General features: G+C 44.0%; 1 protein-coding gene across 3 annotated transcripts in view, besides 8 other annotated features; it reads right to left on the bottom strand.

The window, feature by feature from the left end:
* The window catches only part of HAPSTR1 (HUWE1 associated protein modifying stress responses), a 29992-nt gene extending 6527 nt beyond the window's left edge, over positions 1–23465 (bottom strand). Inside the window, exons 1-4 of one of the 3 annotated variants that reach the window (XM_011522462.4) lie at positions 22839–23465; positions 22108–22188; positions 11850–12125; positions 1928–6738 (exon numbers count right to left, since the gene is read on the bottom strand). In XM_011522462.4, the coding sequence (XP_011520764.1) occupies positions 6605–6738; positions 11850–12125; positions 22108–22188; positions 22839–23064 (717 nt within the window). In that variant the 5' untranslated portion in view covers positions 23065–23465 and the 3' untranslated portion in view covers positions 1928–6604. Of the gene's footprint in view, positions 1–1927; positions 6739–8344; positions 12126–14079; positions 14185–22107; positions 22189–22838 lie in introns of those variants that run through there. The other 2 variants (XR_007064871.1, NM_014117.3) reach the window with 2 other exon arrangements.
* Positions 17374–17873: an enhancer, noted in NCBI's record as "H3K4me1 hESC enhancer chr16:9191093-9191592 (GRCh37/hg19 assembly coordinates)". NCBI's record gives its function as "activates a minimal SCP1, AML or CMV promoter by ChIP-STARR-seq in primed H9 embryonic stem cells {active_cell/tissue: H9 hESC(primed)}" and the evidence as "EXISTENCE:reporter gene assay evidence [ECO:0000049][PMID:30033119]".
* Positions 21996–22165: an enhancer, noted in NCBI's record as "active region_10373". NCBI's record gives its function as "activates an Ori minimal core promoter by ATAC-STARR-seq in GM12878 lymphoblastoid cells {active_cell/tissue: GM12878}" and the evidence as "EXISTENCE:reporter gene assay evidence [ECO:0000049][PMID:35858748]".
* Positions 22316–22815: a silencer, noted in NCBI's record as "silent region_7186". NCBI's record gives its function as "represses an Ori minimal core promoter by ATAC-STARR-seq in GM12878 lymphoblastoid cells {active_cell/tissue: GM12878}" and the evidence as "EXISTENCE:reporter gene assay evidence [ECO:0000049][PMID:35858748]".
* Positions 23026–23365: a silencer, noted in NCBI's record as "silent region_7185". NCBI's record gives its function as "represses an Ori minimal core promoter by ATAC-STARR-seq in GM12878 lymphoblastoid cells {active_cell/tissue: GM12878}" and the evidence as "EXISTENCE:reporter gene assay evidence [ECO:0000049][PMID:35858748]".
* Positions 23536–23605: a silencer, noted in NCBI's record as "silent region_7184". NCBI's record gives its function as "represses an Ori minimal core promoter by ATAC-STARR-seq in GM12878 lymphoblastoid cells {active_cell/tissue: GM12878}" and the evidence as "EXISTENCE:reporter gene assay evidence [ECO:0000049][PMID:35858748]".
* Positions 24394–24524: a silencer, noted in NCBI's record as "fragment chr16:9184442-9184572 (GRCh37/hg19 assembly coordinates)". NCBI's record gives its function as "represses an EF-1alpha promoter that drives an FKBP-Casp9 reporter gene in an ReSE screen in K562 erythroleukemia cells {active_cell/tissue: K562}" and the evidence as "EXISTENCE:reporter gene assay evidence [ECO:0000049][PMID:32094911]".
* Positions 24394–25300: a biological region, named in NCBI's record as "H3K27ac-H3K4me1 hESC enhancer GRCh37_chr16:9183666-9184531".
* Positions 24435–25300: an enhancer, noted in NCBI's record as "H3K27ac-H3K4me1 hESC enhancer chr16:9183666-9184531 (GRCh37/hg19 assembly coordinates)". NCBI's record gives its function as "activates a minimal SCP1, AML or CMV promoter by ChIP-STARR-seq in primed H9 embryonic stem cells {active_cell/tissue: H9 hESC(primed)}" and the evidence as "EXISTENCE:reporter gene assay evidence [ECO:0000049][PMID:30033119]".

Raw genomic sequence — 27379 nt, 5'->3', positions numbered from 1 at the left:
GCCACACCTCCCTTCTGAGGTGCTCAACTCCGCACTCTAGGTGCCCCCATTCCTTTCTGCACTGATCCAACCAATCCCCCTGGCTGCTCTCCCTGCAGAAGACACATCCTCCCCTCCTGCTGGTGGTCAGAGGAAATCAAACTGTCCCTCTTCAGCCTCTCAACCTTTCCAAGGCTAGCACCTATTAAAAAATAGAAGCATTAACATGAGAATACTTCCTGTGTCAGGTACTATGTCAATTACTTCCTATGACACCTATAATATCTCCATTCTGCAGGTGAAAACCCAAGTTTAAAAGTTAATTCATCCAAGGTCAACAGGTAGTAAACAAGAGCTGGCACTCCCACCCAAGTGTAATCTATATTCCTATTCAGTTATTCTGATCCTCTTCCAAGCCTAGAGTATTTTAGCAAAAAGGTGGCTTCAGGTTGGTCCTAGGGCCAGCCTGCCTCTTAGGCCTCATCTCTTTGAACAGTTTCTCTCTCTTCCCTTCCTGCTCTCTTCACTTCACCCTTAGACCGTATCCCGACTACCAACATCATGCAATTTGCAGCTCTCTGAAATAGTGAGGCCTGCAACTATCTGTCTCTTCCAACATTTGCAAATGTCTGTCTCTCCCAACATTCACTCCCTGAGTGAGCCCACCTGTTCCCCAGCACCTCCCTTATGAGGCTCCTTCCCTGGTTCTCCTACCTCTCCATTTTAGTTTCCTGCTGGCTCCTCTTTCCCCCTCCTTGAAATTGAAACTCTCCGCTCACTCCTCAGTCGCCTTGGTGGGGTTCCCTTCTGCCCCTGAAAGGCTGGTGTCACCCTGGGTGATATCCTCAACCCCTACCTTACCCACACACGTTTCCCAAAACTAGACTAATGAGCTCAACGGCCCTCCCAGATTTCTAACTGCCTACTGGACATCTCAAACTCAACACCATCAAAAAGGAACTTCACTTCCTCTTCCCCAACCGGCACAAGCTTACTTTTAAAAAACAAAATAAACCAAAAAAAAATCTTGAGCTATCTTTCTACAGCATGGTACAATCAACCGTCTCTTCCTATAGAAAATATCTTTTCATCTCCATCTAATGACCTAAGCACAGTGCCTGGCACTTACGAATTCTGAAAAAGAATAATACTTCAAAGTCCTACCCCCTCATGTTGAAATCCACTGAAATCAAAGGTTCAACTGTTGATGTTTATTCACCTCTCCAACACCAGAAAATAAACCCAGGTGTTCTCTTCACTTAAATCATTGCCATCAAGTTTAAAACTCAATTATCCCCATTGTTGGCTTTTTTTTAAAGTTCTACCGCAAGACTAAACTTGAGGGGAGAGATGTGCCTTCTTTCATCCTAGTGTCTCAGCCTGTAACATATTACAAGGTGCCCATGTTCTTCAAAGATAACCTTTCGTACTTGTTTCATAATCCAAAAGGTAATTATTATGGCAAAATATGGGCACGTTCAGCAATAAACTGGGCTACTTCAATAATTAAAATCAAGATCCCCTTTATCATTTCAAATTATAAAAAGAATTCAACAAACCCCACCCTAATGCCCTTGTTAACATAGGAGTCTCATGGCAGCACGTTTAATACCTAACAACAAATATGGAAGGCTCAAAACACTGTATCAGAAGTGGACTAGGGATTTCAAGCAAATGTTCCTTATTGTTTCAGCTGCCATTCTCCATGAAAAAGAAGATGTGTTAAACATCAATTTGGTCAATCTGAAAATTCTAACAGCTTCTGGGAAATCATCTTTTTCTACTGGGTGTATGACCTGGGTGTTTATCTTGATAACTTTAATGTGCAATATGATCTATGACTGACTCTCATAGCAGTGAAAATATTTTCAAAGTCTGCCTACCTAATCTTCCCCAAAAAGACTTTTCACAAGGGTCAAAAATAATTAAGATTAACAACCAAAAAATGTGCATTTTGACAGCCCAAATTTTATTTTACAAACCAATGACAGCTACTAGAAGATGCTTTAGGAAACCTTAGCTAAGCCACATAAACAATCAGACCTATACAAGTACAGAAAAATCTAAACATGCTTCAGAACTAAAAAAAAAACAAAAAAAAACAAAAAAAACAAAAAAAAAAAACCAAGTTGTACGTCCTGAGGGCATACAACTTAATTTCTACAAAAACATACTTTTTCAAAAGGGCTATGAGAGTATCAATTGACAAAAGCAGAACAAGTAGCATGATTAGACAGAGAAGTCTTAATTGCTTAACACAAGATAAACTCAGCAGTTTTAAAGTGTCTGTATCCATTTTAAATGATTAGTCCAGGGGTAGAAAAGATGAGGATGGTTTCATCATACTTTGAAAAGGAAACTCCCACTGGAGCTAAAACAAACTTACAGTCCAGGTTATAAGAATCCAAGTTACATAGTAAATTATTAACTATTATTTTCATACCAAGTTCATGCTTAGGCAATAAGAAAATCCTGTTTGCAGCATTAATTACATGTAATTCAGTTTCCAGGCACATAGTTAGAGGTCACACACAGGCAGAGAAAGAACAAATGCCAGCCCAGTCATCTCACTGCCTCAGTCCAGCAGCCAGTGGCCCAGGACTTCATCTACACTGTCTATCTGCTTCCCAGCCACTTAAGCCCCACGAGGGAAGGCAAGGCAGCTAGCCCTGGAGGTGAGAAGACACCGTTGATCCACCAGCGCAGGTGCAGGGCCCTCTGCAGATTTGTTCCACCAGTGTATCTCCCATAGAAAATGGGATTTGAAATCACAACTTAAACCAAGTGGGTAATATCCTGACCGGGGGCCCTAAGAAACTGGCATTCTTGCATTGGAAATGAATTGCACTATTCAGATGCACAGCACTCCTTTTGCACAAAGTTGTGTTCTGAGGTGCCAGGACATCCAAGCACTTGCAGTGTCAATGTCGTGTTTAAGATGTACCAGGGGAGTTCAAACATTTAAAAAGGAATTCTACTAGGAAGATTTCAGTAATTTGAAGTAGATACCACTCCCCACCCCAATCTGTAAATTATAATACTGAATTTTTATTGAAATAAAGCACACTAAATCAAACCAATTACAAAGATACATGTGTCACACCAAGAAAACATTTTCAGTTATGCTGACAGCCCCAAATGTTTTCCATTTTTCAAAGACAGTTTGTAATGTCATGGGAAAATTGCTCACGACGTTAAAATGAAAAAAGCAAGATACAGTAATCATATATGCAGTATGATCTCAACTATGAAATAACTTTAATATTTATACATTGAAAAAAAGACTAGAAGAAAATGCACCAAACATTGAACTGAAGTTAATCTCTATATACTGGGATAACAAGATATTAATTTTTTACTTCTTGAAAACTTTCAAATTTTCCAAGAAATTAATCATAAAATCAGTGAGAAAATTGAACTTGAATGAATATCAAAACTGCTTAAACAAGGACTAGGCTGAGTAACCTGGCTTTGAGGCATGCTACATGGCCCTTTTCACTGCAATGAAAAAAAAGTCCAACAAAATTTTATCGCAGGTTCAAGACAATTTTGCATTACTGATGTTGGAAGCTTTATGTCCGACCTCCACAAACTTCAGCAGCTAACATCTAATCTTAATACACAGAAAATGCCAACTTCATTGAAAACTTTAATGCTATCTTAATTGCCTTAATTGTTCTTTTCAGGGGCTGGTTTGAACAAAGGGACATAATTTACAAATTCCAGACTTCACAGAAAATTCAATTAAAGATTCTTTGAAATAATTCATTTTAAGTAATTAAGAGACTGCTTTGGTGCATTAATCTCTTACATCTTAATTTCCAAAAGGTCTTTAGACACATTTTACTTTTAAACAGCTACCAACAGTTCTGTTACTTCAAGAAGATGCAGACTGCAACATTCAACAAGCATTCCTTAAGAATCTACTGTGTTCCCACACACTGCTGAGAGTGTGGGTTTCCACAGAGAAGAAAGGATTCTGAAAGGTGAATGTGTATAATCCAACAGGTTGGTTCTAATTAATTCTCTGCAACAGAAAACTGCAAGACGTTTCTTTCGTACTATACCAACAGGTTTTTGTTTTGTTTTTTGAGACTGAGTTTTGCTCTTGTTGCCCAGGCTGGAGTGCAATGGCACGATCTCAGCTCACTGCAACCTCTGCCTCCCGGGTTCAGGCAATTCTCCTGCCTCAGCCTCCTGAGTAGACAGGATTACAGGCATGCGCCACCACCCCTGACTAATTTTTGTATTTTTAGTAGAGACGGGGTTTCTCCAAGTTGGTCAGGCCGGTCTCAAACTCCTGACCTCAGGTGATTCACCCGCCTTGGCCTCCCAAAGTGCTGGGATTACAGGCGTGAGCCATGCTGCCCCAGCCATACCATCCATCAGTTTTAAGATACTTAACCAAAACATTTGTGCTAGGTGTCAAGATATACTTCTAAATATTTAGCTATAGTGATGGAAGAGGTAGAAGAGTGACACCAAAGGGGCGAGACACAGAGCTAAATACAATTAAATTTCTTCTTAAAATGATTATCAATTGTCTAAGAAATTTTATCAGGAGTGATTTGTTCTCAAAAAAATGTGGTAACTTCCTTTCTATATCACTCTGGCATGCATAGGGCCAAAGAATGTTTTGACAAACGAAAGGTACAAAAATCTGCACTTGGAGGAGGAAGAAAATCTTACTGGTTTAGGCTGCCTAAAATGAGCTTCCCTTTTCTAGGGAAAAAGTAGCAGTTTTATACTTTGGATGTGACAAATTAGTTATCTGCCTTACATTCTTCTTTCTAAAACATTCCTATCCAACCTTATACCCCTAAATCTGATTTCGAATGATTTTTTCATACGGCCCTACATCCAGTTTCTCCAAATCCAAGAATATTGTCAAGTAACTTAATGATTTAAGAGAATAAGAAGTTCCATGTAAGTCCACAGAAAGACTCAGTTGGGCAAAAAAAAAAAAAAAAAGGAGAACCCAGAAATGCAGCCTATTAATTCTCAAGGCGATGGACATGGTGCCTCAATCTGATTCCCTGGGTTTAGATACTTCACTGTCTACTATAATTCTATTAGGCCAGAAATTGCTTGAGGAGATTATTAGCTTTTTTGTTTTTTTAATCACCTGCCCCTACTCCTAACCTCTAATAAACAGTGCTTGGTATTCACTGTGTTCAGTAAATAAAGGACAATAGTAAAGGCTGCAGAATAACAATAAGAACTCCTAACACCAAATTCACAAAGGAAGCAGAGTTTTCAAACCAAAAAGGCCTCGGCAATCAACACTAAGGAGCTGCTGCTGTCTTGTAACTCACAAAGTACTGCTTAAAAAAAAAAGTTTTTTTTCCTTTATGTTTTGAAATTCTTACATTAAAGGCTAGACTGCCTGAGCATGCCTAAGTCCCCCTGTCTTTTAAACTTGTTTTAAACATGAAAGGAACTTACAATTGGGAAGATTAAAGCCAAAAAAGGCAATGACAGTAATGGTTCCCATTGGTGCCTATTATGACACCAGACCCTGCATGCTAGAGGCCTTTGAGTCTGAAATGATGTGTAACTTTACAGAGAGACAACTCAGGCCCAGTGGGGTTAACTCCAAGCCCTGCAGTCAAGAATGTCATCAAAATCAGTTTGGGAACTAAAACCAAGTGTCTGACTTTTATGGAACAGTCTGAATCAGGGTCAGCAACTTGCAGAGACCACCTATGATATGCTACGAGTGAAAGTGGGGCTTTGAATAAACATACCGAGTGAAGTCTGACTTGGCATCGGGCTCCCCACCCTAGGACCCATGCCATCTTCTCACTCGGGACCCTTTCACCTAACCCTCATGATTATACCTCAGAATGAAGGCAGACTAGATTTCAATCCAACCCTTTCCAGAGATAGCACTGGGTTGGACAGGGCAACTCTGAATCTCTCCCTCCAGTGAGGAGACAGACAACGTAACCAACTTCACTAGTCTGTCAACATGAGACAAGCTCAAGATCTTAGCAAGAGTAATATTTAAGCAGTCAAAGTTCTAAATGATCTGATCCCTCCAGTGTGATAGCTGCAATTTAAAATGTGACCCTTACTACTAAACAGGGAGGTAAAAAAGTATCCCAGAAGGCAAAAGCCACTGGGCCTTGAGATCCTTGGTCTATTTTTACAGTAAAATTGCCCAGGGGAAATGAGGGTACCCACCGGACCTGGAACCAACCAGCAATTCTCCTTTTCTTAAGGCAAAGAATACTTCCAGTGTCATGGTAGGGTAGGTAACCTGCCTGGGTTCTCATTTAATATAATGTCTTGTAAGTATATCACCTTTCACAAAGGAGACTGGCTTGGAGAAGTCAAGCATGTTGCCCAAGGTTACCGAGGAAAATAGCCTATACACAAAGACTATGTACTCTTCCTAACCAGTGAACCAGGGATACAGTTGGTCATTCACCTTTAAGTCTACTAATCCCGATTAGCTTATGGGGAAAACCTCAGAAAGAGATATAAAATTCACATCGTTTCTGATTAATTTTGAGAAGAAAAGCCTCAAGATCTTTCCCACCTCGACACCTAAGCCCTAGGTCTTAGTGGGGGCGACGTCGTAGACAGAAATCCCACATCTAAAAATGTGAGAGCATAGTGGTTAAGGGTATGCATTTTGAGGCCAGGCATCATGGCTCATGCCAGTATTCCCAACACTTCGGAAGGTCGAGGTTGGGGTATGGCTTGCACCCATGAGTTCGAGACCAGCCTGGACAACATGGCGAAACTCCAACTCTACAGAAAATAAAAAATCAAAAATAAATATATTGAAAATTAGAAATTTTTTTAATTAAAAAAAAATTTGCATTTTGGAGACAGGACTGGAGTATCTATTCTACCACTTACTAACCTGCTCCATATCTTAGCCAAGTAAGGCTTTCTTCATCAACAGTGTTAATAACCCAGGGTAGGTGTGAGGATTAAATGACAACCTCCTTAGTGTGATGCTTTTACAAAGTAAACACTGAAAGAGTAGGTTTAATGGTTATCACCCTAAGGTCCCATGGAAGTCTCAGTTGTTCTAATTCAAGATTACCATGTAGCACCCTAGGCAAACAGGTTACATTATTCCCTGATTGTAGCTATCTGGGGATTGTAATCCTCAACCCTTTCTAGAGGTTCTGGGTCCCCACTGTGTTGTATTCACTTAGCAGACCTCTGTGATAACCCCAGTGGTAAACTCAGACTACACCTATGTCAGGTTCTTTGCTATGTTCTGTTAAAGCCAAAAAAAAAAGGACCAAGACAAGGTCCCTGCTATGTGTCCCGAGGAGAATGGAACAGTCACAGAAACAAATCAAGCAGCAGAGCAAATGCACAGTTCAGGGAGGCTACAGAGATTGGGAGCCCTGAAGCAAGGCTGTGTCACAGAAGTGAGGTATGAACACGTAGGGGCTGGACTTGTCAAAGAGCATAGAGGTATTCAAGAGATAAACAGTATGGGTAGGATACCTAACCAATGGTTAAGACTGGATCATAAGGGTCTTGTAATACCATGCTGAATTTGGACTTCACTGTGTAGGCCCAGGGAAACTTTAAACCATGAAGTGACAAGACCAGAAAGATCACTCCAATGGTCTCATGAAAGATGGACTGGCAACAACAGCTCAGGACTGGAAAGTGAGAGCTGAAACATTAGGCCAAGAGCCCAGGCTCACCTCCTCCAGAGGGCCTGCCCTGAGCACCACACAGCCGGGCTGTGCTGTGAAACATCCCTTTCTGCTCTCAGAAGACCTTCCACATACCACATTCATGACGTGAATAGAAATTAACCAAATCCATATTTTGCCTCAACAGAAAAAGGAATCGCTCTATGTTTATGTATTTCCAGAGACAGCACCGAATCTGCCATATAGAGAATGTGCTGAATGGCTCAATGGCTCAATGAGTCATTCTGCTGTTGGGGCAGAAGAATGAGTCCAACCTGAAACTTCATCTGAGATAAATGCCTGTGGGACAATTTGGAGATGTACACCGGAGGACAGTGGGACATGCCATCTGGCAGTCAGGAGAGAAGGTCTAAACGAGAGGTCCAGATTTGGAAGTGAAGACATGGGAAACGTAATCTAGGGCAGTGACAGGGCCTGAGGACAGGTCAGGCAGGCCAATGTGGCAGAAGAGAAGCCAAGGTAAGGAGAAGCTCTAGAAAAGGGATGAACAGAGGACCAATGAGAATGGCAGGCAGAGATCCACAAAGTGATCCAGAAGATTTCTGGTCTCAAGTATGCTGTTTACATAAAAACGAGTTACCAGTTGTTGGTATTAATTCAACTCTTGGGAAATTTATAATAATGTTATTTTATAACATTATTATAGGATAACAAAGCAAGACAGAAATCAATTTAGCACATGCATGTTTATCTCTTTAATTCCTCTGTGAATCTAACATACAGATGACTAGGTCCCATAGGACACAGGAAAAAAAGCAACATGTTGCGAACAAGTGTCAAAATAAAGCACTGAATTAGTCTTTAAGCCTTGCTAACCACTAATTGAAGTAGCTTTGATAAAAACTATTTGAGGCCAGCACAGTGGCTCACACCTGCAATCCCACCACTTAGGGGCAAGCAGTGAGGCTAAGGCAGATCACTTGAGGTCAGGTGTTCAAGACCAGCTTCGCCAACATGATGAAACCCCATCTCTACTACAAATACAAAAATTAGCTGGGCGTGGTGGCAGGCGCCTACAATCCCAGCTACTCGGGAGACTGAGGCACGAGAATCATTTGAACCCAGGAGGCGGAAGTCGCAGTGAGCACTACACTCCAGCCTGGGCTATAGAGCGACACTCAGTCTCAAAAAAAAAAAAAAAAACCTATTTGATAACCATAAATTGATATGCCTTACTTTTTTTTCTTTAAATAGGGAGAGGGTTTCACCATGTTGGCCAGGGTGGTCTCAAACTCCTGACCTCAAGTGATCCACCCACCTTGGCCTCCCAAAGTGCCGGCATTATAGGTGTGAGCCACAGCACCCGGCCAATTGATATACTTTTGATTAAAGCTGTTTACATTAGTCTCTCCCACTAAACTGGGTTCCCAGGCTTACAAGGGCAATGACTGGGGATCTCATTCATTGTCATACTCTGTCTACACGAAATATTCAGCAGGTGTCAAGTCTGCCATTTTCCTTTAAATTAAGAACACAGTTATTTGGTTGGGCTGTATTTGATGGGGGTAGGGGTAAGGAAGGGGAAAAAAACTGAGGGAAAACTGTCCTCTCTTAAATACATAGGACATGAAGAGGAACTGAGTTTGCTTTCATTATAAACTCAAGCCTGCCTCAAAATACCAGATTCTTTTCCCATGTCCTTGTGCTTGCCAAACGCATGAATTTAGACTCACCCACAATGTAAAACTCCAAAACCTTCAATTTGGCCTAACTTAGAATTCATAAATTTGGCTAAGCAAATAATATGCAAGAGTGAATTGTGACATTGTATTTACCCTAACTATGGTGTTTCCAAATACATTTTAAAAGAGCACCTTAACAGTTTTCACTTCAGACAAATCAGATAATAAGGACACCCAGTTGAAGTCACTAATCTATGTTACTAGTTAATAATGGCCCTAGTACTAGAACCATTCAAATTACTTTCTTTAAATATTCAAATTAAACTACCATTCTCCTTAATACACTGATGTTCTCACAAACCAGTACAGCACAACTCAGTATAATTTATGTTTCTGTAGATTCTTTCAAGGGGCCCTATTACTTCACCACAACACTGTCTTAACCACATGAATTAGAGGTATGAACCCTAAGAGTAAGAATGCATTCAGTCTCCAATCTATACTGGATTAGTGCTACATTATAAATTTATTGAAGGTAAAGATCATTTTCTTCCTAGACAAAGCCTTATATTTAAGTTTTAAAGCCTCACAACTTAAACATGTGAAAATTATAAACAGTCCCTTCAACTGTATCATTGCTTAAAACTCCCAAAGTTCAGGAAAACAATAAATCACAGGTGGAACAGATTCAATATGAGAAAATGTAGTGGGAGTTGGAGAATACAGTTTTTCGAGGGCAGAGGGGGCTGGCTTGCCCTTTTTACTATTATGTACACTACTACTACGTTAAGATAACAAGCATGGTTTTTATGTTTCTTAAAACTATCTTCTAAAATATAACAGTAAAACAGAGTAAAAAGATACCTTAAGAGAAGCATGGAATGACCCACAACCCTCTTAATAAAGGAAGAAAATCACAATACTTAAGGAGAGACAACTGCATCAAATATTACCATGCGCTAAAATTAATCTAACAAACTATGTACACCTCTAGTTAATTGTTTTCCCAAACTTTAGGGGGAAAGATGTGAAACTCTCTAATTCAGCATAAACAGATCAATCCCATTTTTGCCTGAGCTTCCAAAGTTCTGACAGCCTAACTATTCCACTGTGTCAGGAACAGTGTGCAGTCTTAAAGTACTGCATCCACACAACCTGAACTTTCCTGCAATTCATGTTTTTGTTTTTAATTGTCCTAAACACTATCAAGGGAAAAAACAACATTGGGGTTTCAGGAAAGAACTACGGTTTGCCAGAGAGAACAAGATCTCTACAGGTATTATAAAGTCTCAATGATTCAACGTCTATAAAGTTTCTTTATATGCCACTATTTCTTAGTACCTTACCAGGTTACTTTGTTTTAGATGACCTGTACTATGGCCCAAAAATGTTAACTTTCAACAAGACTCATGGCCAGGCGCAGTGGCTCACACCTGTAATCCCAACACTTTGGGAGGCCAAGGTGGGCGGATCACCTGAGGTTGGGAGTTCGAGACCAGCCTGACCAACACGGTGAAACCCTGTCTCTAAAAAATTAGCCGGCGTGGTGGCACATGCCTGTAATCCCAGCTACTCGGGAGGCTGAGGCAGGAGAATCGCTTGAACCCAGAGGTAGAGGTCGCGGTGAGCCAATATCGCGCCAATGCACTCCAGCCTGGGCCACAAGAGCGAAACTCCGTCTCCAAAAAAAAAAAAAAAAGAAAAAAAGGATTCATGACCTAATTACTTCTACCTGCTTAGCCATCTGCGTGATCCATCTTTCCATCATGGTTTCAAGCAAGTCTTATTATTCTGTTGCTTTTTTTCCTACAGCAGTATTCAATGCTGTCACACAGGTTAACTCTCCCAGCTCTATTTGGAAGTCTGTATTAGACAGCAACAAGCAACAACAGACTTATCACTGACTACATTTCCCGGGTTTCTCCAGCAATACTAAAATCCCTTAGCCAAGAGTGCCTTCTTATGACAGGTCTGGCCTGGGGAGATAGAGATCCACCTGCCCACTGGCTGCACTCTGCTGGTCCTGCCTCTTAAAGTGCAAGGGACCTGAGGGACGACAGGCAGAAGGTCAAGTCTTACATCCATCCTCTCCCACCATCTACAGCAAACCAAGTAAGAAAGGTGTCAAGGGAGGTCCCAGGTCCCATGAGAACTAACCCAACAATTTCCCACCTTACTTGCCTGTCATGGACCATTAGAAATATAACAGAATTCTTAAGACACAAGAACTTCCTCTTTGACTTCAGAAGAGGAAAAAAACACGTACAACACATAAGTGTAAAGCGATAAATTCTAATCAACACTGCAGAAAGATATGTCATTTTAACACCAATAAGCTCAAACTAACTTTCTAAAAACATTTTCTAGGATAGGTTAGCTGACAGAAATCGCCCATATTAAGTTCTTAGCTTACATTCTATTAAACATTTCTAGAGCAAGCTGTTTACTGTAAGACAAAAAACAGTATATCTGGACCTAAACCTAACCGTGAAAAATGGGTCCACAGGCACCCTCTTAACCATTTTTCCAAAGAAATATGTTTAAACGGCTTTACCATGCAGAGCTATGGCTTCCCGGAAGGGTTGCAAATCAGTCTCTACAGATGAGCTAGTTTCCGTTGAAGTAGCTCGGTTAGGGGACACTACAGTCAGTCTTGGGGGAGCTCTAGAGTTTCGTGGTGGAGGAACTTTTCCACACAGGAAGCTGATCAAATCTTCTCGACGAATAGTTCTTCTGCGTTTTTTAACCCAAGCCAACACATCCTTATTGCGTCGCTGATAGCCAATCTGAATTCCAATATCAAAACTTCGTTGATGGGTATCCACGCTTTCTGTTAGAAAAAAAGAAAAAGAAAACATGTATCATGACCATTAGAGCCCGTATTCCCTTCTAAAGAAAACCATTTTACAATTTAACCAAAGTGAATACCATGATGTGGCCTCTGAGCCCATCAGTAATATAAACTGAAATGATTTCAGTCATAATGAAAATGTTATATGTAACATTTAATCTTAATGGTCTAAATTCAGTGTTTACTTATCACAGTCCTGGAGCTTGGCTTGTTAAAAAAAAAAATTTAACAGAAACAGAGAGATTAGGTATCTTTAATGAAATTACCTAAAATAACTTGCATCACATCATTCAACAGATGTCTAAATATTGCACATGCCTCAGGCCACGCTCATCTGCATTTACCACGTCATTGTGGAGATACATTCCTACTGACAGATTCAGCACCAAGAATGAGGAACAAGCTGAAGGCAGCAGCAAATGTTTTAGAAGGAAAAATTAATTCTGACTGATGGCTCAACACTAAAACCAAATAGCATGGTGGAAAACAAAAAGCTTTATTCATTTCCCTGGGTATACTCATTTTGCTTCCAGTTCTCAACAGCTTCCTGTAACTCAACCATTCCCAACAGATCTCCTAGACTAAATTCTCTGCATATACTCCACCTGGGTTTTGGTAAAATGATCTCTACCTTTTAGTGGTTTCATTTAGTTGAAAAAAAATTTGAAAATTTAAGTGACTATTATTTAGTTTTAATTGAGCTGCTGTGCCAGCAGAACATCACCAGTATGTCTTTAATGGCATTAACCAACATCGTTACTTTATCCTTGAACTTTCCGTAAAAGCAACAATACTGTGTACATTTCTCTATTACTTTTCCCGGCTTTGATTATTTCGTTTTATTTTATTTTTTGAGACGGAGTCTCTCTGTTGCCCAGGCTGTAGTGCGATGGCTCGATCTCAGCTCACTGCAACCTCCGCCTCCAGGGTTCTCCTGCTTCAGCCTCCTGAGTAGCTGGGATTACAGGCGCACGCCACCATGCCTGGCTAATTTTTCTATTTTTAGTAGAGACCGGGTTTCACCATATTGGTCAGGCTGGTCTTCAACTCCTGACCTTGTGATCCGCCTGCCTCAGCCTCCCAAAGTGCTGGGGATTACAGGCGTGAGCCACTGCAACCGGCGGCTTTAATTTCTTGTCTGCTACATCTACAGCAGACTCTCAAAGGATGGGCAATAGTCAAACAATGTAAAGCTATGTTCCAGAAAAAAAAAAAAAAAATCATCCAGACATCACAGAGGATGCCAAGCTGAATTTGCACTATTAAAGAAAATGGCAAGAGGGAAGCACAACAACCAGAACTTTATAATAAGGCCTACTCTTAAGCAGATGACAGTCTTTATTGCTAAAGACAAAGAAAAACAAGGATATTGTCCACAGATCTTTTCTCTTAAAAAAATAATCAAAGTAGGACCTGGGATGTTAAAAAGAAAGAAAAAATACTTTAAAATGAAAAGGACCAGGACAAGAATTCAACATCAATTTGGAAACCTGATATGCTATAGAGTGCATTCATATCTTCTCCATCACAACTCTGAGAAGGTGGATTATTCTAATTTTACAAATATAAAAAGCAGCTCAAGAGTGAAGTAACTTCTCCAGTGTCTCACTACTGGTATAACATGAATCAATAATTTTGATTTCTCACTTCTTCATAAACAAAGCATGAACTCCATTTTGAATGTAAATAACAGTAGAGAGGGTCACCACTTTTCCCATCTCTTTAGGAAAAGATTTAGATGAGCCAACCCTAAAGGGGTGGACAAACCTAAAGATGACCTTGTAGTGCTGTACCTAAAACTTAAATGATTCTGAAAGAGCTGGAGGCATTAAGAGAAATCAAGTCATTGACCAACTAAACTTATCACACCACATAAAGGATAAATGTAAAATGTGTTAACCTAGAAGCAATCAGGTTTTTAAACCTATCCTACCTAGAAGAATTGCTTTTAATCAAGCTTGTAAATGAAGAAGTTTCTGTTTCTGAAGAGAATGAGGGTATTTTATTCTTCAAAAGCCAAATGGAGGTAAGCCCAGCCCTGCAGAAACAGAGGAAAAAAAGTCTAAAGCATAGTAAAAGGGATACAAGAAACAAGTCTGAAGCAGGCTTGGAGAGTGCAAAGAAAGATGGCCAGGCATGGTGGCTCATGCCTGTAATCCTAGCACTTTGGGAGGCCAAGGTGGGTGGATCACCTGAAGTCAGGAGTTCGAGACCAGCCTGGCCAAGATGGCAAAACCCCGCCTCTACTAAAAATACAAAAATTAGCCAGGCATGGGTGGTAGGCACCTGTAATCCCAGCTACTCGGGAGGCTGAGGCAGGAGAATCACTTGAACCTGGGAAGCAGAGGTGGCAGTGAGCCAAGAATGCGCCACTTCACTCCAGCCTGGGCGAAAGAGTAAGACTCTCTCTCAAAAAAAAAAGATGAAGTAAGCATGTAAACATACACCTGGCAAACCAGACAGCAAAAAAAGAGAAGCTAAACTTGATACAAAACTCAAGGGCCAAAAGGAAGGGGCCACGTGAGGTGTTTAAAAAAAAAAAAAATATCCTGTGAAGAGCTTGGCCAAGTTTTGGGTTGTTTTGATTGAAGACACAAGAAGTCCAACAGTCAGATCTGCAAGGGACTAATGGTTTCATCACAGATTTGAACATCGGGAAAACTCAGTAATCACTAGTGGCCTGGCTTAGATGTAAGACACTTATGTAACAAGTTGTGAACCTCTTTTAAAAAATTATGCAACTGACCAATTATTTCACCTCAAAAATTCTGAGATAACCAAGTCTCAATGTCAGAACCCACTATGAGCACACTAGAAGTCATGCATTTTGCAAACACTACCCTTACAGACTAGAAGGTCCTAGAGGAGAAAAGCAGAAACAACATTTAAGGTTTTAGGTATGTTTTTGCTCCACCGGGGCATAATGTAGTTTTGTACTGTTAACAGTATATATTCTGAAAACCAAGTCCAATTGCCTTACCACTCAAACCCAACCTCAGTTATTTCCCAAAATACAAAGTCCCATGTAAATGGTGAAGTATTTAAAATAGAGTCCTTTTTAAATAGTTACCTGACTGAAAACAAACCTTTCTCATAACTTGAGCTAATTAGGAGACCTGCATGCTTACTGGAGAATCTTAGGCATGACTACATTTTAACATAATCCCAGGACAAACTAGTGTACAGTGGATAATCTCATACACACACACACGGCCTCTTGAAGGCTCTCAGCCAAACACTGCTCTGAGCACACCCCAATTCTAGAAGCGTGGACTTTCGGGTACCTATCCCAGAAAAACAGCACAGAAGCTGTGGCCAGTCTTGCGTCCAACACTATTTTACAGAAACCAAAGTCACTGTGAAAAAGAGCCACATACTTGAAGGTTAGGCAAACTCCACAAGCACTGAAATGTCAATCTAACCTTTAACCACAACACATTCATTTCCTTATTCAAAAAAGGAACTGGGCGGGCATGGCACAGTGGCTCATCCGTGTAATCCCAGCACTTTGGGAGGTCAAGGTGGGTGGATCACTTGAAGCCAGGAGTTCGAGATCAGCGTGGCCAACATGGTGAAACCTCATCTCAAAATATAAAAATTAGCCAGGCATGGTGGCAGGCACCTCTAATCCCAGCTACTTGGGAGGCTGAGGCAGAAGAGTCACTTGAGCCTGGGAAGCAGAGGTTGCAATGAGCCAAGATTGCACCATGGCACTCCAGGCTGGGTGACACGCAAGACTCCATCTCAAAAAAAGAAAAAAAAAAGAAAATGAACTGATTCATACACCAGTCATAGCAGGTATCCCATATTTCCCTTTTTTTTCTTTAAATGCTTTTATATAAGCATGGGAAACTGAATCCAAGAGATTTTAGAAGACAAATTCTCCCACCACAACGGGCTGGGGTGGGGGCAGAGGGCAAAGAATTATATTGATTCTGAAGACCAAATCATAACTTTCTTACATAACTGCATAAAATTAATCAGATTACTCTACTTATAGCTTTTTGATACACATTGATTCATGTGAATTAGAGCAGGTATCGCAAGTTTGTAACAAGGAACTGAAGTTCAAAGGGCCTTGTGTCCAAAGTTCATTGACAGAGTTCCCTCTGTGACCTCTCTTCCTCAAATGAGAAGCCATCTCTCAATTGCAGACAATCTACAAACCATAAGAGCACAATGCTACATCAAAGCAACACTTCTAAAGAAATACTACTGACTACGTGATTTTTAAACTTAAGAATTAAATTTGCACTAGCCAGTCCACCACACAGAAAAATATTTTATTCTTTTTTGGGAGGAAGGGTAGAGGCAGGGTCTCACTATGTTGCCCAGCCTGATCTCAAACTCCTAGCCTCAAGATCTCAAGAGAACCTCTCCCCTCAGCCTCAAGTGCTGGACTACAGGTGTGAGCCCTGGCACTCCAACCAGTAAAGAAAATGTACTGTTTCTTTAGGAATGTAACAATCTAAGTCACAGCCAAAATAAAACTGTTCCCAATCGTATTCCCTAAGGAAGTGGCATCCAAAAATAAGCACACCTCCTAGCTACTTATGTATTTACTTAATCTTCACCTAGCACACAAAACAAAGGACCAGGAACCAGGGGGATAATATTTTGTGTGTGTGTGTGATGGATTTTCGCTCTTGCTGCCCAGGCTGGAGTGCAATGGCCTGATCTCGGCTCACCACAACCTCCGCCTCCCAGGTTCAAGCAATTCTTCTGCCTCAGCCTTCCGAGTTAGCTGGGATTACAGGCATGCACCACAATGCCCAGTTAATCTTTTATTTTTAGTAGAGATACGGTTTCTCTCCATGTTGGTCAGGCTGGTCTCAAACTCCCGACCTCAAATGATCCTTCCGCCTCAGCCTCCCAAAGTGCTAGGATTACAGGCGTGAGCCCCCGCCCCAGCCCTGGGGGAGCATCTTAATAACCACTGTTTGTTGCCTGCCTGGCATCCAATCCTTGTCCTCCCCTTCCTAAAAGCACTCCAGGTTTTTGTTTAGATAGCAACCATGTTTCGAGAGAAGCTCCCTCCACATTTGCTCAAGGGGTTGTGGCTTAGCTCTCAACTCATGTGCATAACCCTATGTACCCCTATTAATGGTTGTGGGTAAGCAAGTGACCCCGTTATGGCCAAGAGATGACAGAAGTCATTTTTAGGCTCTTCTAAGCTTTACTGAGTGGCTCTAAGATGTGAGCCACAAGCCATTCTGCCAACATAATGAAGCCAGCCTGATAACAAAGTGTGCGAGTGCACACAGGGGAGAACAGAGCAGGGGAGCCTGGGCTGCTCAATTAAGTCAATCCTACTGTGGCCTTTTAAGTCAGAGGAGCCAATACATGGCCATACAGCTAAAGCCAGCCCAACTTGTGTTTTCTCATACTTGCAACCAACATATTCTTTCACAGAAAAACTACACACAGGCTGGGTATGGTGGCTCACAGTTATAATCCCGGCACTTTGGCAGGCTGAGGCAGGTGGATCGCCTGAGCTCAGGAGACCAGCCTGGGCAACATGGCAAAACCTCATCTCTACCAAAAATACAAAAACTTAGCTGGGCATGGTGATGGGTGCCTGTGGTCCCAGCTACTCAGTGGCTGAGGTGGGAGGATCACTTGAGCCTGGAAGGTGGAGGTTACAGTGAGCTGAGACAGCACCACTGCACTCCCACCTGGGTGACAGAATGAGACCCTGTCTCAAAAGAAAAAAAAAAAAAAAGAGCCAGGCGCGGTGGCTCACGCCTGTAATCCCACCATTATGGGAGGCCAAGGCGGGCGGATCACCTGAGGTCAGGAGTTCAAGACCAGCCTGGCCAACATGGTGAAACCCCGTCTCTACTAAACATACAAAAAGTAGCCTGGTGTGGTGGCAGGCGCCTGTAATCCCAGCTACTGGGGAGGCTGAGGCAGGAGAATCGCTTGAACCAGGGAGGCGGTTGCAGTGAGCCGAGATCACGCCATTGCACTCCAGCCTGGGGGACAAGAGCGAGACTTCGTCTCCAAAAAAGGAAAAAAAATAAGAGCTACACACAAAAAAAGCAGTCTATTATAAAAAATAAGTATTATGTATAACTGAGGCTACTGCTTCTGACAAAGCTACAATTTTTTCATTAAAAAAAAATTTTAAGACACGGGATCTCACTATATTGCCCCAAGCAATCCTCCTGCCTCAGCCTCCCAAAGTGCTGGGATTACAGGCATGAAAAGTTAAATAGAAATTTAATGCTTAGGGTTTCTCACTGTAATCCACACTAAGGTATTTTGAACAAAGTCTCAAACTCAGTAATAATTTTTTGCAGCCAAGTGAGTCACAAACCAGCTCCACCAGTCTCCAGGTAGAATATGATTTCTGGCCATTTGTTTCTAAGTCACCTGCCACTTGGCCCACACATTTACAGTTATGCTCAGTTCTCCTTTAGTGTACGAGTCCAAAATGGCCACACTGAAGTGAGACATATAAAGAGGGCTTGGCATCAAGATGTATCAAAAGTGAGGACTTAAGGGCATCAGACTATTTTTCCCACCTGTCAATTCTACTTACATTTACTCCAATTAGGGAAAGAAGATGAAGAAGGAAATACACACCAGAGTTTATTTCAACACAAAAAAAATTTTTAAAAAGACAGAAAATAAACTATTATTACTTCCCTTCATTTTAAGCACTGCCCACATTGAGAAAAATCCAAAAAATACTTAAAACTTGACCACCAACACAATGAATGCCAGAGCACTCACTATGCCAGGCACAAAGCTAAGAGCTTGTACTAGAATCTGTGGTAGTTATCCCTATTTAAGTTAATTAAGTCAAGGAGCACAATGGTGAATTAACACCTGGCTTCACTGTCTCCAGGACCATAAAGGTAAGAAGTAACAGAGCCAAGATCTGAACTCAGGCAATGTGGCAGTAGACTCCAACTCACAATGACACTGGGTAAACATCAACCCTAGCCAGATTAAAATGATTTTTTACTCCCCTTCTTTAGTTCCAGGAATCAAAAAATATACTGATCTAAGGATACTACTGAATATTGAAGAAACACCATCCTCTTTGCATTTATCAAATCAAAAACCAGCAGTCAGTATTTTGGCTTCCTTCCTTTTTTGGAAAGGGGAAGACAAGTCTGACCCTACTATTTACAGTAGAGGTAACCACCCACTCCATTTTATTGAATTCTGTCCTTGCTGAAGTTCAACTTACATTTACATTATCTTCCAAATCCTTCTAGCCACATTCCAACCAAACCAATTAACTCAATTTTCAACTTTTCAAAAGCCCTCTGACAACTAAAAGCGACCCTCTGCTGGGTTTTTAATCTCAATCCTGACCTTCTTAATGAAGGTCAGGATTGAGATAAACACCTAATGAACTTCTTGGTAGTTATCAAGAAGCTGGTAGGAGTGCCAAATTGTCCCCAGGCTGCACAATAAGCCATTTTTACCTTGTCAGATATTATACAAAATACAGGAATGCTGCCTGCTGCCCACTTAGAAGTATCCACCAAATTTTTCCCCCCTTAAATTATATTTAAATATTTAATCAGAACTATAACCAATATCATTTAAATTTAGTACTACTTACTGCTGCATGCACTTGTGACACCACCTTGCTAATTTTATTGGTTCTATTTAAGGTAACCAATTATTCCTACAGCTGTATGCCTGTTCTCTAAAGACCACACCCTGAAAAAGAAAAAGTGTGAGGCTATCCAGAGTATTATCCACACACTCCTTGAATCAAATAAGAAAACGTTGCACTATCAAATTCCACAAGACACAACTTACCATTTCTATTAGGCAAGGGATGTGTTTTCACTGTACAGAAACAAGGTACAAAATAAAACTAGTTCAGACTAACAATCTAGCATTTACAATAATCCAAGAATCATATGTGATGTTTTCTAAAAATAAAATTAATGTTCCTCCTTAAGTTTTCTGAGCAGGAAAACAAACAAATTGTAAACATTTTTAAATGAAGTAATCAAATTAAGGATTATTTCAGAGTTCAACTGCTGAACCCATCTTCTTACACGAAAAGTTAGCACTAACGAAAACTGCTAGGTTAGTCCTAAAGGGACACATTCTACAAGAACCCAACAGGACCAAAGCCAGAGGACAATCCCATTTTATACGGCCTAGGCTAAGAACCTGGCACATAAAAACACTAAAAATGTGTTGCCTTCCCCTTCAAGCACAAAGCAATACCAACAAAAGCAAAAGAATAAACCATGGTACTGCCACACCATAGAGTAATACTAGCCAATCAAAAGGCACTGAACTATGCACACCTGCAATGCGAACTCGATGGGTGAACCTTATCATAGTAACTGGAACAAGCCAGACACAATAGGCTACAAGGACTGCACCATTCTATTTAGGACATGATGGAGGAGAAAAAACAGCAATCAAATCAGTGACTGCCAGGGACTGGGAGGTGGGGGTGATAGATATATTCTACTTCTTAAAAAAAAAAAATCAAAGTATATATCCTAAAACAGTGATTTTACTGTATGTAAATTACACTCCCAGAAACCTTTTTTTTAATTAAGTATTATTTCAAAATTCTGTTTTTGGACAAAACCAAGAGCCATTCCAAAACGTTCAAGACCGTCAGCACTGATAGATGTTGAAGCAATTTACTCAGTCACAATTTAACAAACAGCTATATAAAATCAAAGCTAACCACTGAGGCACTATTTAACCATGTTTCCCTTTTTTCAGTAAGACTGGACTATTATTATTACAGTTCCTCATTCCCTAAAGTTAGCGTTTCTTTTCACCACTTTGTTACCAGTTCTCAAATTACTGTCCCAAAAAACTGTAGTCTACTCAAGAAATCTCACAAGGAGATATTTTTTCCTACAAGATGCTGCGGCCATTTGCACATTCTTATGCAAAAATTAACAACTTGACAGTCAAGCAGCACCTTCATAGCCCGTTTCAACCTATATATGGCCTAAATATATATGGCAAAAATACCAATATTGGTATTTTTGAAATGCACAAAGTTCCATTACTGTTCTGAGCAACTTTTAAAAGTCTGAAAACATTTAATTACATATTTCTTAAGATTAACAAAGTCAAATCCTTTTTCCATAAAAATCTTGCCAAAAAAAAAAATCAACCCCAAATTTCTCAATCTTCAAAACCAGTAAGGCACAAAATCTAAACCCACCGTTACCAAGAATGCACAAATGGGCAAGAACGTTTACTTACACATCTTCATGTCATCACAAAGGGAGGGGGATTAACTCCAGAAAGGAACCACCATAAAACAAACCTATGGACTCAAAACTCTCAACAGAATTCCTGCCAGCAACTTATAATCAAATATAGGATCCTTTTAACAGAAAACACTTGATCAAATTGCTAGAGAAGAGCAGCACGTTAACATGCGCGCAGATGACTCCGATTAGCAAGCTTTCAAGCACTTCAAAACTATATAGACTGCCACGCTTTCAAATGCCTAACTCAAGAATCTTTTCCATAAAGTTCGTCCCACTTCCGACTGTAGTACAAAAAACATCAACTCTTATCTTCCCTCAATGTCTTTTCCAGAGGGAGGCAAGGCTCAGCCGTCTTCCAGCTCAACGCTTCTCAACCTGAGCACTACTGACTTTAGGGGCATGATAATTCTTCGCTGAGAGGGGGCCGGGGCGGTTATCTTGGGCACTGCAGGACCTTCAGCAGCCTCTATACACTGGGTGCCCAACAACAGCCCCTTCTAGGAGAAGCCAACCAAAAACGTCCCCAGGCGTTGCCATCTGTCCCGGGGGGCGGAGGGAGGTGTCAAAATCGCCTCCGGTGGATCTAGCTAGAGCACCGCCGCGATTCTCAAGTTGCAAGGTATTCAAGGTTAGCAGCTGGGCTGGGGAGCAGAAAACACACTTGGAACGCAGGGCAGACACCCTGACGCAGGCGGCCCTTCCCTGAATCGGCAATGCAGCAAGGTTATCTTTACCTTTGTAGAGATTGGTGACGGCGGTGGCTGCGTTTTGGAAGGGGACCCAGAGAGAAAGTCCTGGCTGCTGACACACTCGGTCTGAAAAGCAAGCCAAAAAAAAAAAAAACCAAAAAGAAAAAAGAAACACACATAGAAAGAGAAAGAAAGAGAACAAGAATGTTATTTGCGCGTCAATCACTCCGGAACGGCCATATTAGGTTTCGCCATTTTGTTCAGGGGTTTCGGGATCCCAAACCCAGTGTGAGGACCGGGGGGGCAGGGAGGTCGCGGCGGGGAAAAGGGGATGCCGCAGAGCTCAGGGGCACAGATCAGGGACGAGCCGCGGCGCAGGGAAGCGCCCCCCCTGGCAGTCCCCGCCCCGAGGCCGGCTCAGGGCACAATGGGGCCGCCCCGCCGTCTCCCTTCGCCATTTTGTGACGGGGGCTCCTCCTCTCCCGTCTCCGGGCCGAGGGGGACACCGGGTGGCCGGGCCCGGAGAGCGGGGACCCTCGGACCACCCCAAAGCGGGGCTACCCCCACGCCGGCTCTGGCCTGTCCCCCCAACCCCGGGCCTCCCTCCCGCGGCGCCATCTTGCGGGGAGGGGGCGGCAGGGCCGCGGAGCCACCGGCCGGGATCCCCGAGGCCGCCGCCGTCGCGGCCCCCCGAAGCGGCCGCTGAGCCGATAGGGCCGGGGCCGGGCCCGGGCGGGGGCGGCCAAGCGGTACCAAGATGGCGGCGGCGGCCTCACCTTTGTAGAGCTGGGCCACGGCGGTGGCCGAGTTCTGGAAGAGGTGCCACAGCTTCTGCTGCTTGTGCTCGGGCTGCGCGGCGGCCGCCGCCTCCTCCTGCAGCTCGGGGGGCAGCTGCTCGTCCTGTTCGGCCTCGGCCAGGCACTGCCGCTCCCACTTGGAGAACCAGTGCTCGGGCCCGTGCTCCTGGATCTCGGCCTCGCCCTCCTCCTTCCGCTCCTCCATCCTCCGCGGCCTCCCGCGGCCTCGCCGCCACCGCCGCCGCGTCCTCCTCAGGCGGGGCCCCCGCGGGAGCGTCGTCGTCAAGCGGCCCGGCGGCAGGGCCTGGCGACCGACGGCGCCTTCTCCTTTCAGCGGCCCAGGCCTCCTGCACCCCGACGGCCGGCGAGCCCCGCCCCGCGGCCCCGTGCAACCAGGGACGACCCCCGCCCCAGGCCTTCCCACCCCCGGGCCCGGCCGAAGGTCGCCGCGGACCAGATAACCGCTGCCGCCCCTCGCCTCGGCCGCCGCAGCCTGTCTAACGCCCCCCCATGGCGCTGCGGCCTCCCCACTGCCGCCGCCGCCGCTGATCGCCGAGCCCTCCGCGCAGCTCGGCCTGCACCGCGGAGCCCACCCCAAGACTGAGCAACGTCGTCGTCGTCGCCACCGCCGAGGACGGCTCTGCGGCTGCTGGTCCCCGCCCTACCCCGCCCACATGCTGACAGGAGAAGCACCGCCCACTGGGCCCAAGCTACCCTGCCCGGTTGAGGCGTGGCCGCTCCAAGGGCCCCTATTAGTCGGATCCGGCCGGTTCCGCGTGGCGGCTTCTGAGCACAGCGTCGTGATTGGTTCTTCGGCCTGTCTGCCTGACGTAACCAATTGGCTGGGGGAAGGGAGTGAATGTCAGGAAGGATGAAGGAGGAGGAGGGGGAGGAGCTGACAGTGGTTGCGTCCGAGCCAAGGGGGCGGGTGGGGGGTGGAGGGGAAGAGCTAGAAGGGATGCGCATGCGCACTTGCTCGCTGCTCCCCCCCCCGCTCAGGGGCGTTGAGTGGGGATCACGTGACGAGGCCCAGCGACCGCACCCCGCGGGAGCTTTTCCGGCGTGTACAGGCCCTGGGGGGATGCAAAGTCGAGTGCGGCTCCTGTGCCGCGGGCACTGAGAGGTATAGTGGGTGGTAGCGTGCTTACTCCAGCCCCTGGGGCTCCCAAAGGGAGGAGGGTAGTAGAGAAAGTGAATAAAACGCCCAACTCGTGTCCAAGTTTGCAAAGCGCTTTCCTATTCTTTTGAGTACTCCCCCTTTTTTTTTTTTTTTTTTGAGACGGGGTCTTGCTACGTTGTCGAGGTCTAGACTGCTGGCCTCAGGCGATCTTCCAGCCTCCCAGGGCGCTGGGATTACAGGCTTGAGCCACCGCGCCCGGCCCAGAGTCCCATTTCTTAGACGGGCAAATCGACCATCACAGCCAAAGAAAAACTTCCGAGTTGCGAAGTCGGCTCAGTTGCCCCTGCGCCCTGGCGTCCCCCGAGGACGTCGCGCCTTCCGGGTGGACAGGACCTCGGCGGCCGCCCGCGGAGCCAAGGATAACCCGACGGCCGACGGTGCCCGGTGCCCGCACGCGTGCGTCTGCGCCTTTGCGCGCGCGGCGGCCCCCGCACCTGTCCCGAAAAGCACACTCCCAGGCCACGTGCATGCCCCGCGTCACGTACCGGCCCCTGCCTTCCCCGGCCCGAACCCGCGTGGCGGTGCCGAGCGCTGCGCCCGCCCCTACTCCCCCCGCAGTGCGCGATAGCTGGACGCCCCTGCGGCTGCGCGCCCCCCTCCCCTGTCGGGGCTTTCTCCAGGGTCTGAGGCCCCGGAGAAGGCAGCAACGCAGACAGGCGGTGACCGCACAGAGGCAAAACCCACCATCCCCACCTACATGCCCACGGGAGGCACCATCCGGCCTGGAGCGGCGGAGGGCGCCGGCCAGAGGCAGCGTCGCCCGCAGCCTGCGATAGTGCGCTTGCACAGAGCAAGGCGGCTTTGGAAGAAAATCTGACCCCCTCACCGCGGCCTGCAAACCCCTGCAGGATCTGGCCCTGGCGCCTCTCACACAATCCCCTACTTGGCTTGTACCTTGCGCACTCCCCCTCTTCCCCACCTCGCCTGGACGCTCACACACTGGCCTGCCTTATTTCCCTGGGACACTAGGCTCTTTCCTGCCCCAGTCTGCTATCTCTGGAAGCTCTTCCTCCTCCTCTTTCCTCAGATAGCTCCTGTTTAGGAAGCCTACTAGGACAAGCCTAAAGTAGCACCCTTCACACTGTCTCGTATTGCCTGGTTATATTATTTCATAACATCAATCACTATCTAAAATGCTAAATTAGGCCTGGCGCGGTGGCTAAAAAACAGGTTTCCAATTGTAGGGAAGAATATAAAGTGAAAAGCAAACAAAAATCATTCTACCTACCTCATTCTACATCCTCCCAATCCTATTCCCAGGAAATAACTTGTGACCTTTGAAAACGGAGTTATGTGTACGTCGAGTGTGTATGTGTGTGTGTACCTATATACAAGTATGTCCCTTCTTAAGGAAAAAAAAAGATGATTTTATGTGTACTATCCTACAAGCCTTTTTTCCTTAACATAATTTGGATGTCTCCACATTGGGACCTAAAGACTTATTTATTCTTTTAAAATATTGCAAATAATTTCATTGTATGGATTCACTACAAAGTATTTTACAGGGCCCCTATTGATACAAATTTAGATTGTGACCAGTCTTTGGCTATTATAAACAATGCCATAATGAACATCTTGTACATATGTAATACAGTGAACATCCTTGCATATATACATATGTGTATTGAATATATATCCTCAGAAATAGTATTTTAGAGTCACAAGGTATATGAGTTAAATATTTTAGGAGGGTAGGCATGGTAGCTTACACCTATAATCTCAACAATTTAGGAGGCCAAGACGCAAGGATTGCTTGAACTCAAGAGTTCAAGACCAGCCTAGGCGACATAGTGAAACCCAGTCTCTACAAAAAAATACAAAACACAGCCAGGCATGGCGGCACACACGTGTAGTTCCAGCTACTCAGGAGGCTGAGGCGGGAGGATTGCTTGAGCCCAGAAGGCATAGGTTGCAGTGAGCCGAGATAGTGCCACTACACTCCAGCCTGGGTGACAGAGACCCCATCTCAATCAATCAATCAATCAATAAAACTGCCTGCTGAGTGTACGATCAATGGTTGTTGATATGTCAATTTCTACATTTCTGCATTCATGGTAGCACGTGGGAAGTCCAGGCCTGCACATGTAGGTATGACAAAGGAGAGAACACAGCTGGACGATTTCGCTGCCTGCAGGCTCCGCTTCAAAAGCCACACACCACTTTGGACAGTCCAAAGGTTTCGAGTTTTTACAGAATGAAGGCTGCTCTTCTTCTCCTTCATGTAACTCAGACCCTGTTCCAGAAGCCTCTGGCCTTTTCTTGTAAGAACATAATATTTCAGCCATACATACAAGATGGAATGATATTGAATAGCATAAACGCTGGCTCTATAATAAATATTTGTCAGTTGGAAAAAACAGTCTAAAGAAAAAGGAATAAATATTGAAAAGCACCACCTATCTGCTTGATTTCCATGACCCTGAGCTTTGTGTTAACCTCTAAGAGTTTCTTTTTTGTTGTTGTTTCGAGACGAAATCTCGCTCTGTCGCCCAGGCTGGAGTGCAGTGGCGTGATCTCAGCTCACTGCAACTTCTGCCTCCTGGGTACAAGCCATTCTCCTGCCTCAGCCTTCCTAGTAGCTGGGATCAGAGGTGTGCACCAGCATGCCCAGATAATTTTTTGTGTTTTTTGTAGAGATAGTTTTGCAATGTTGCCCAGATTGGTCTCCAATTCTTGGGCTTAAGCAGTTCTCCCACCTCAGCCTCCCAGGTAGCTGGGACTACAGGCACATGCTACCATGCCTGGCTAAATGTATTTTTTGTAAAGATGGGGTTTTGCAGTGTTGCCCAGGCTGGTTTCCAACTCCTGGACTCAAGCAATCCTCCTGCCTCAGCCTCCCAAAGTGCTGGAATTATAGGTGTGAACTACTGCACCCAACCCACCTCGAAAAGTTTCTGAATTCTGAATTGATAGTCTTAGAGCACTTGAGCTATTATACAAATGCTTATTATCTTCTTATTCATGTGTACCTTATAATCAATGCCACTTGGAATGGAGGAATGTCAAATAACAATGCACGATACGTATTATGACCAGCAGTCAGCAAATAGAAGACCTTGTCAATGTGGAGATTCTCTCCAATGCCACCTACTCTTCAGTTTAAAGATGAAACCTCATAAGCCGGGAGCGGTGACTCATGCCTGTAATCCCAGCACTTTTGGGAGGCCAAGGCAGGCAGATCACCTGAGGTCAGGAATTCGAGACCAGCCTGGCCAACATGGAGAAACCCCATCTCTACTAATAAAAAAATAGTGGGGTGTGGTGGTGCATGTCTGTAATCCCAGCTACTCAGGAGGCTGAGGCAGGAGAATCGCTTGAACCCGGGAGGCACAGGTTGCAG

Source organism: Homo sapiens, chromosome 16 (assembly GCF_000001405.40).
Source record: "Homo sapiens chromosome 16, GRCh38.p14 Primary Assembly".
NCBI lineage: Eukaryota > Metazoa > Chordata > Mammalia > Primates > Hominidae > Homo > Homo sapiens.
The sequence above is the reverse complement of the archived record's forward strand: the minus strand, read 5'-3'. Positions and strand labels throughout refer to the sequence as shown.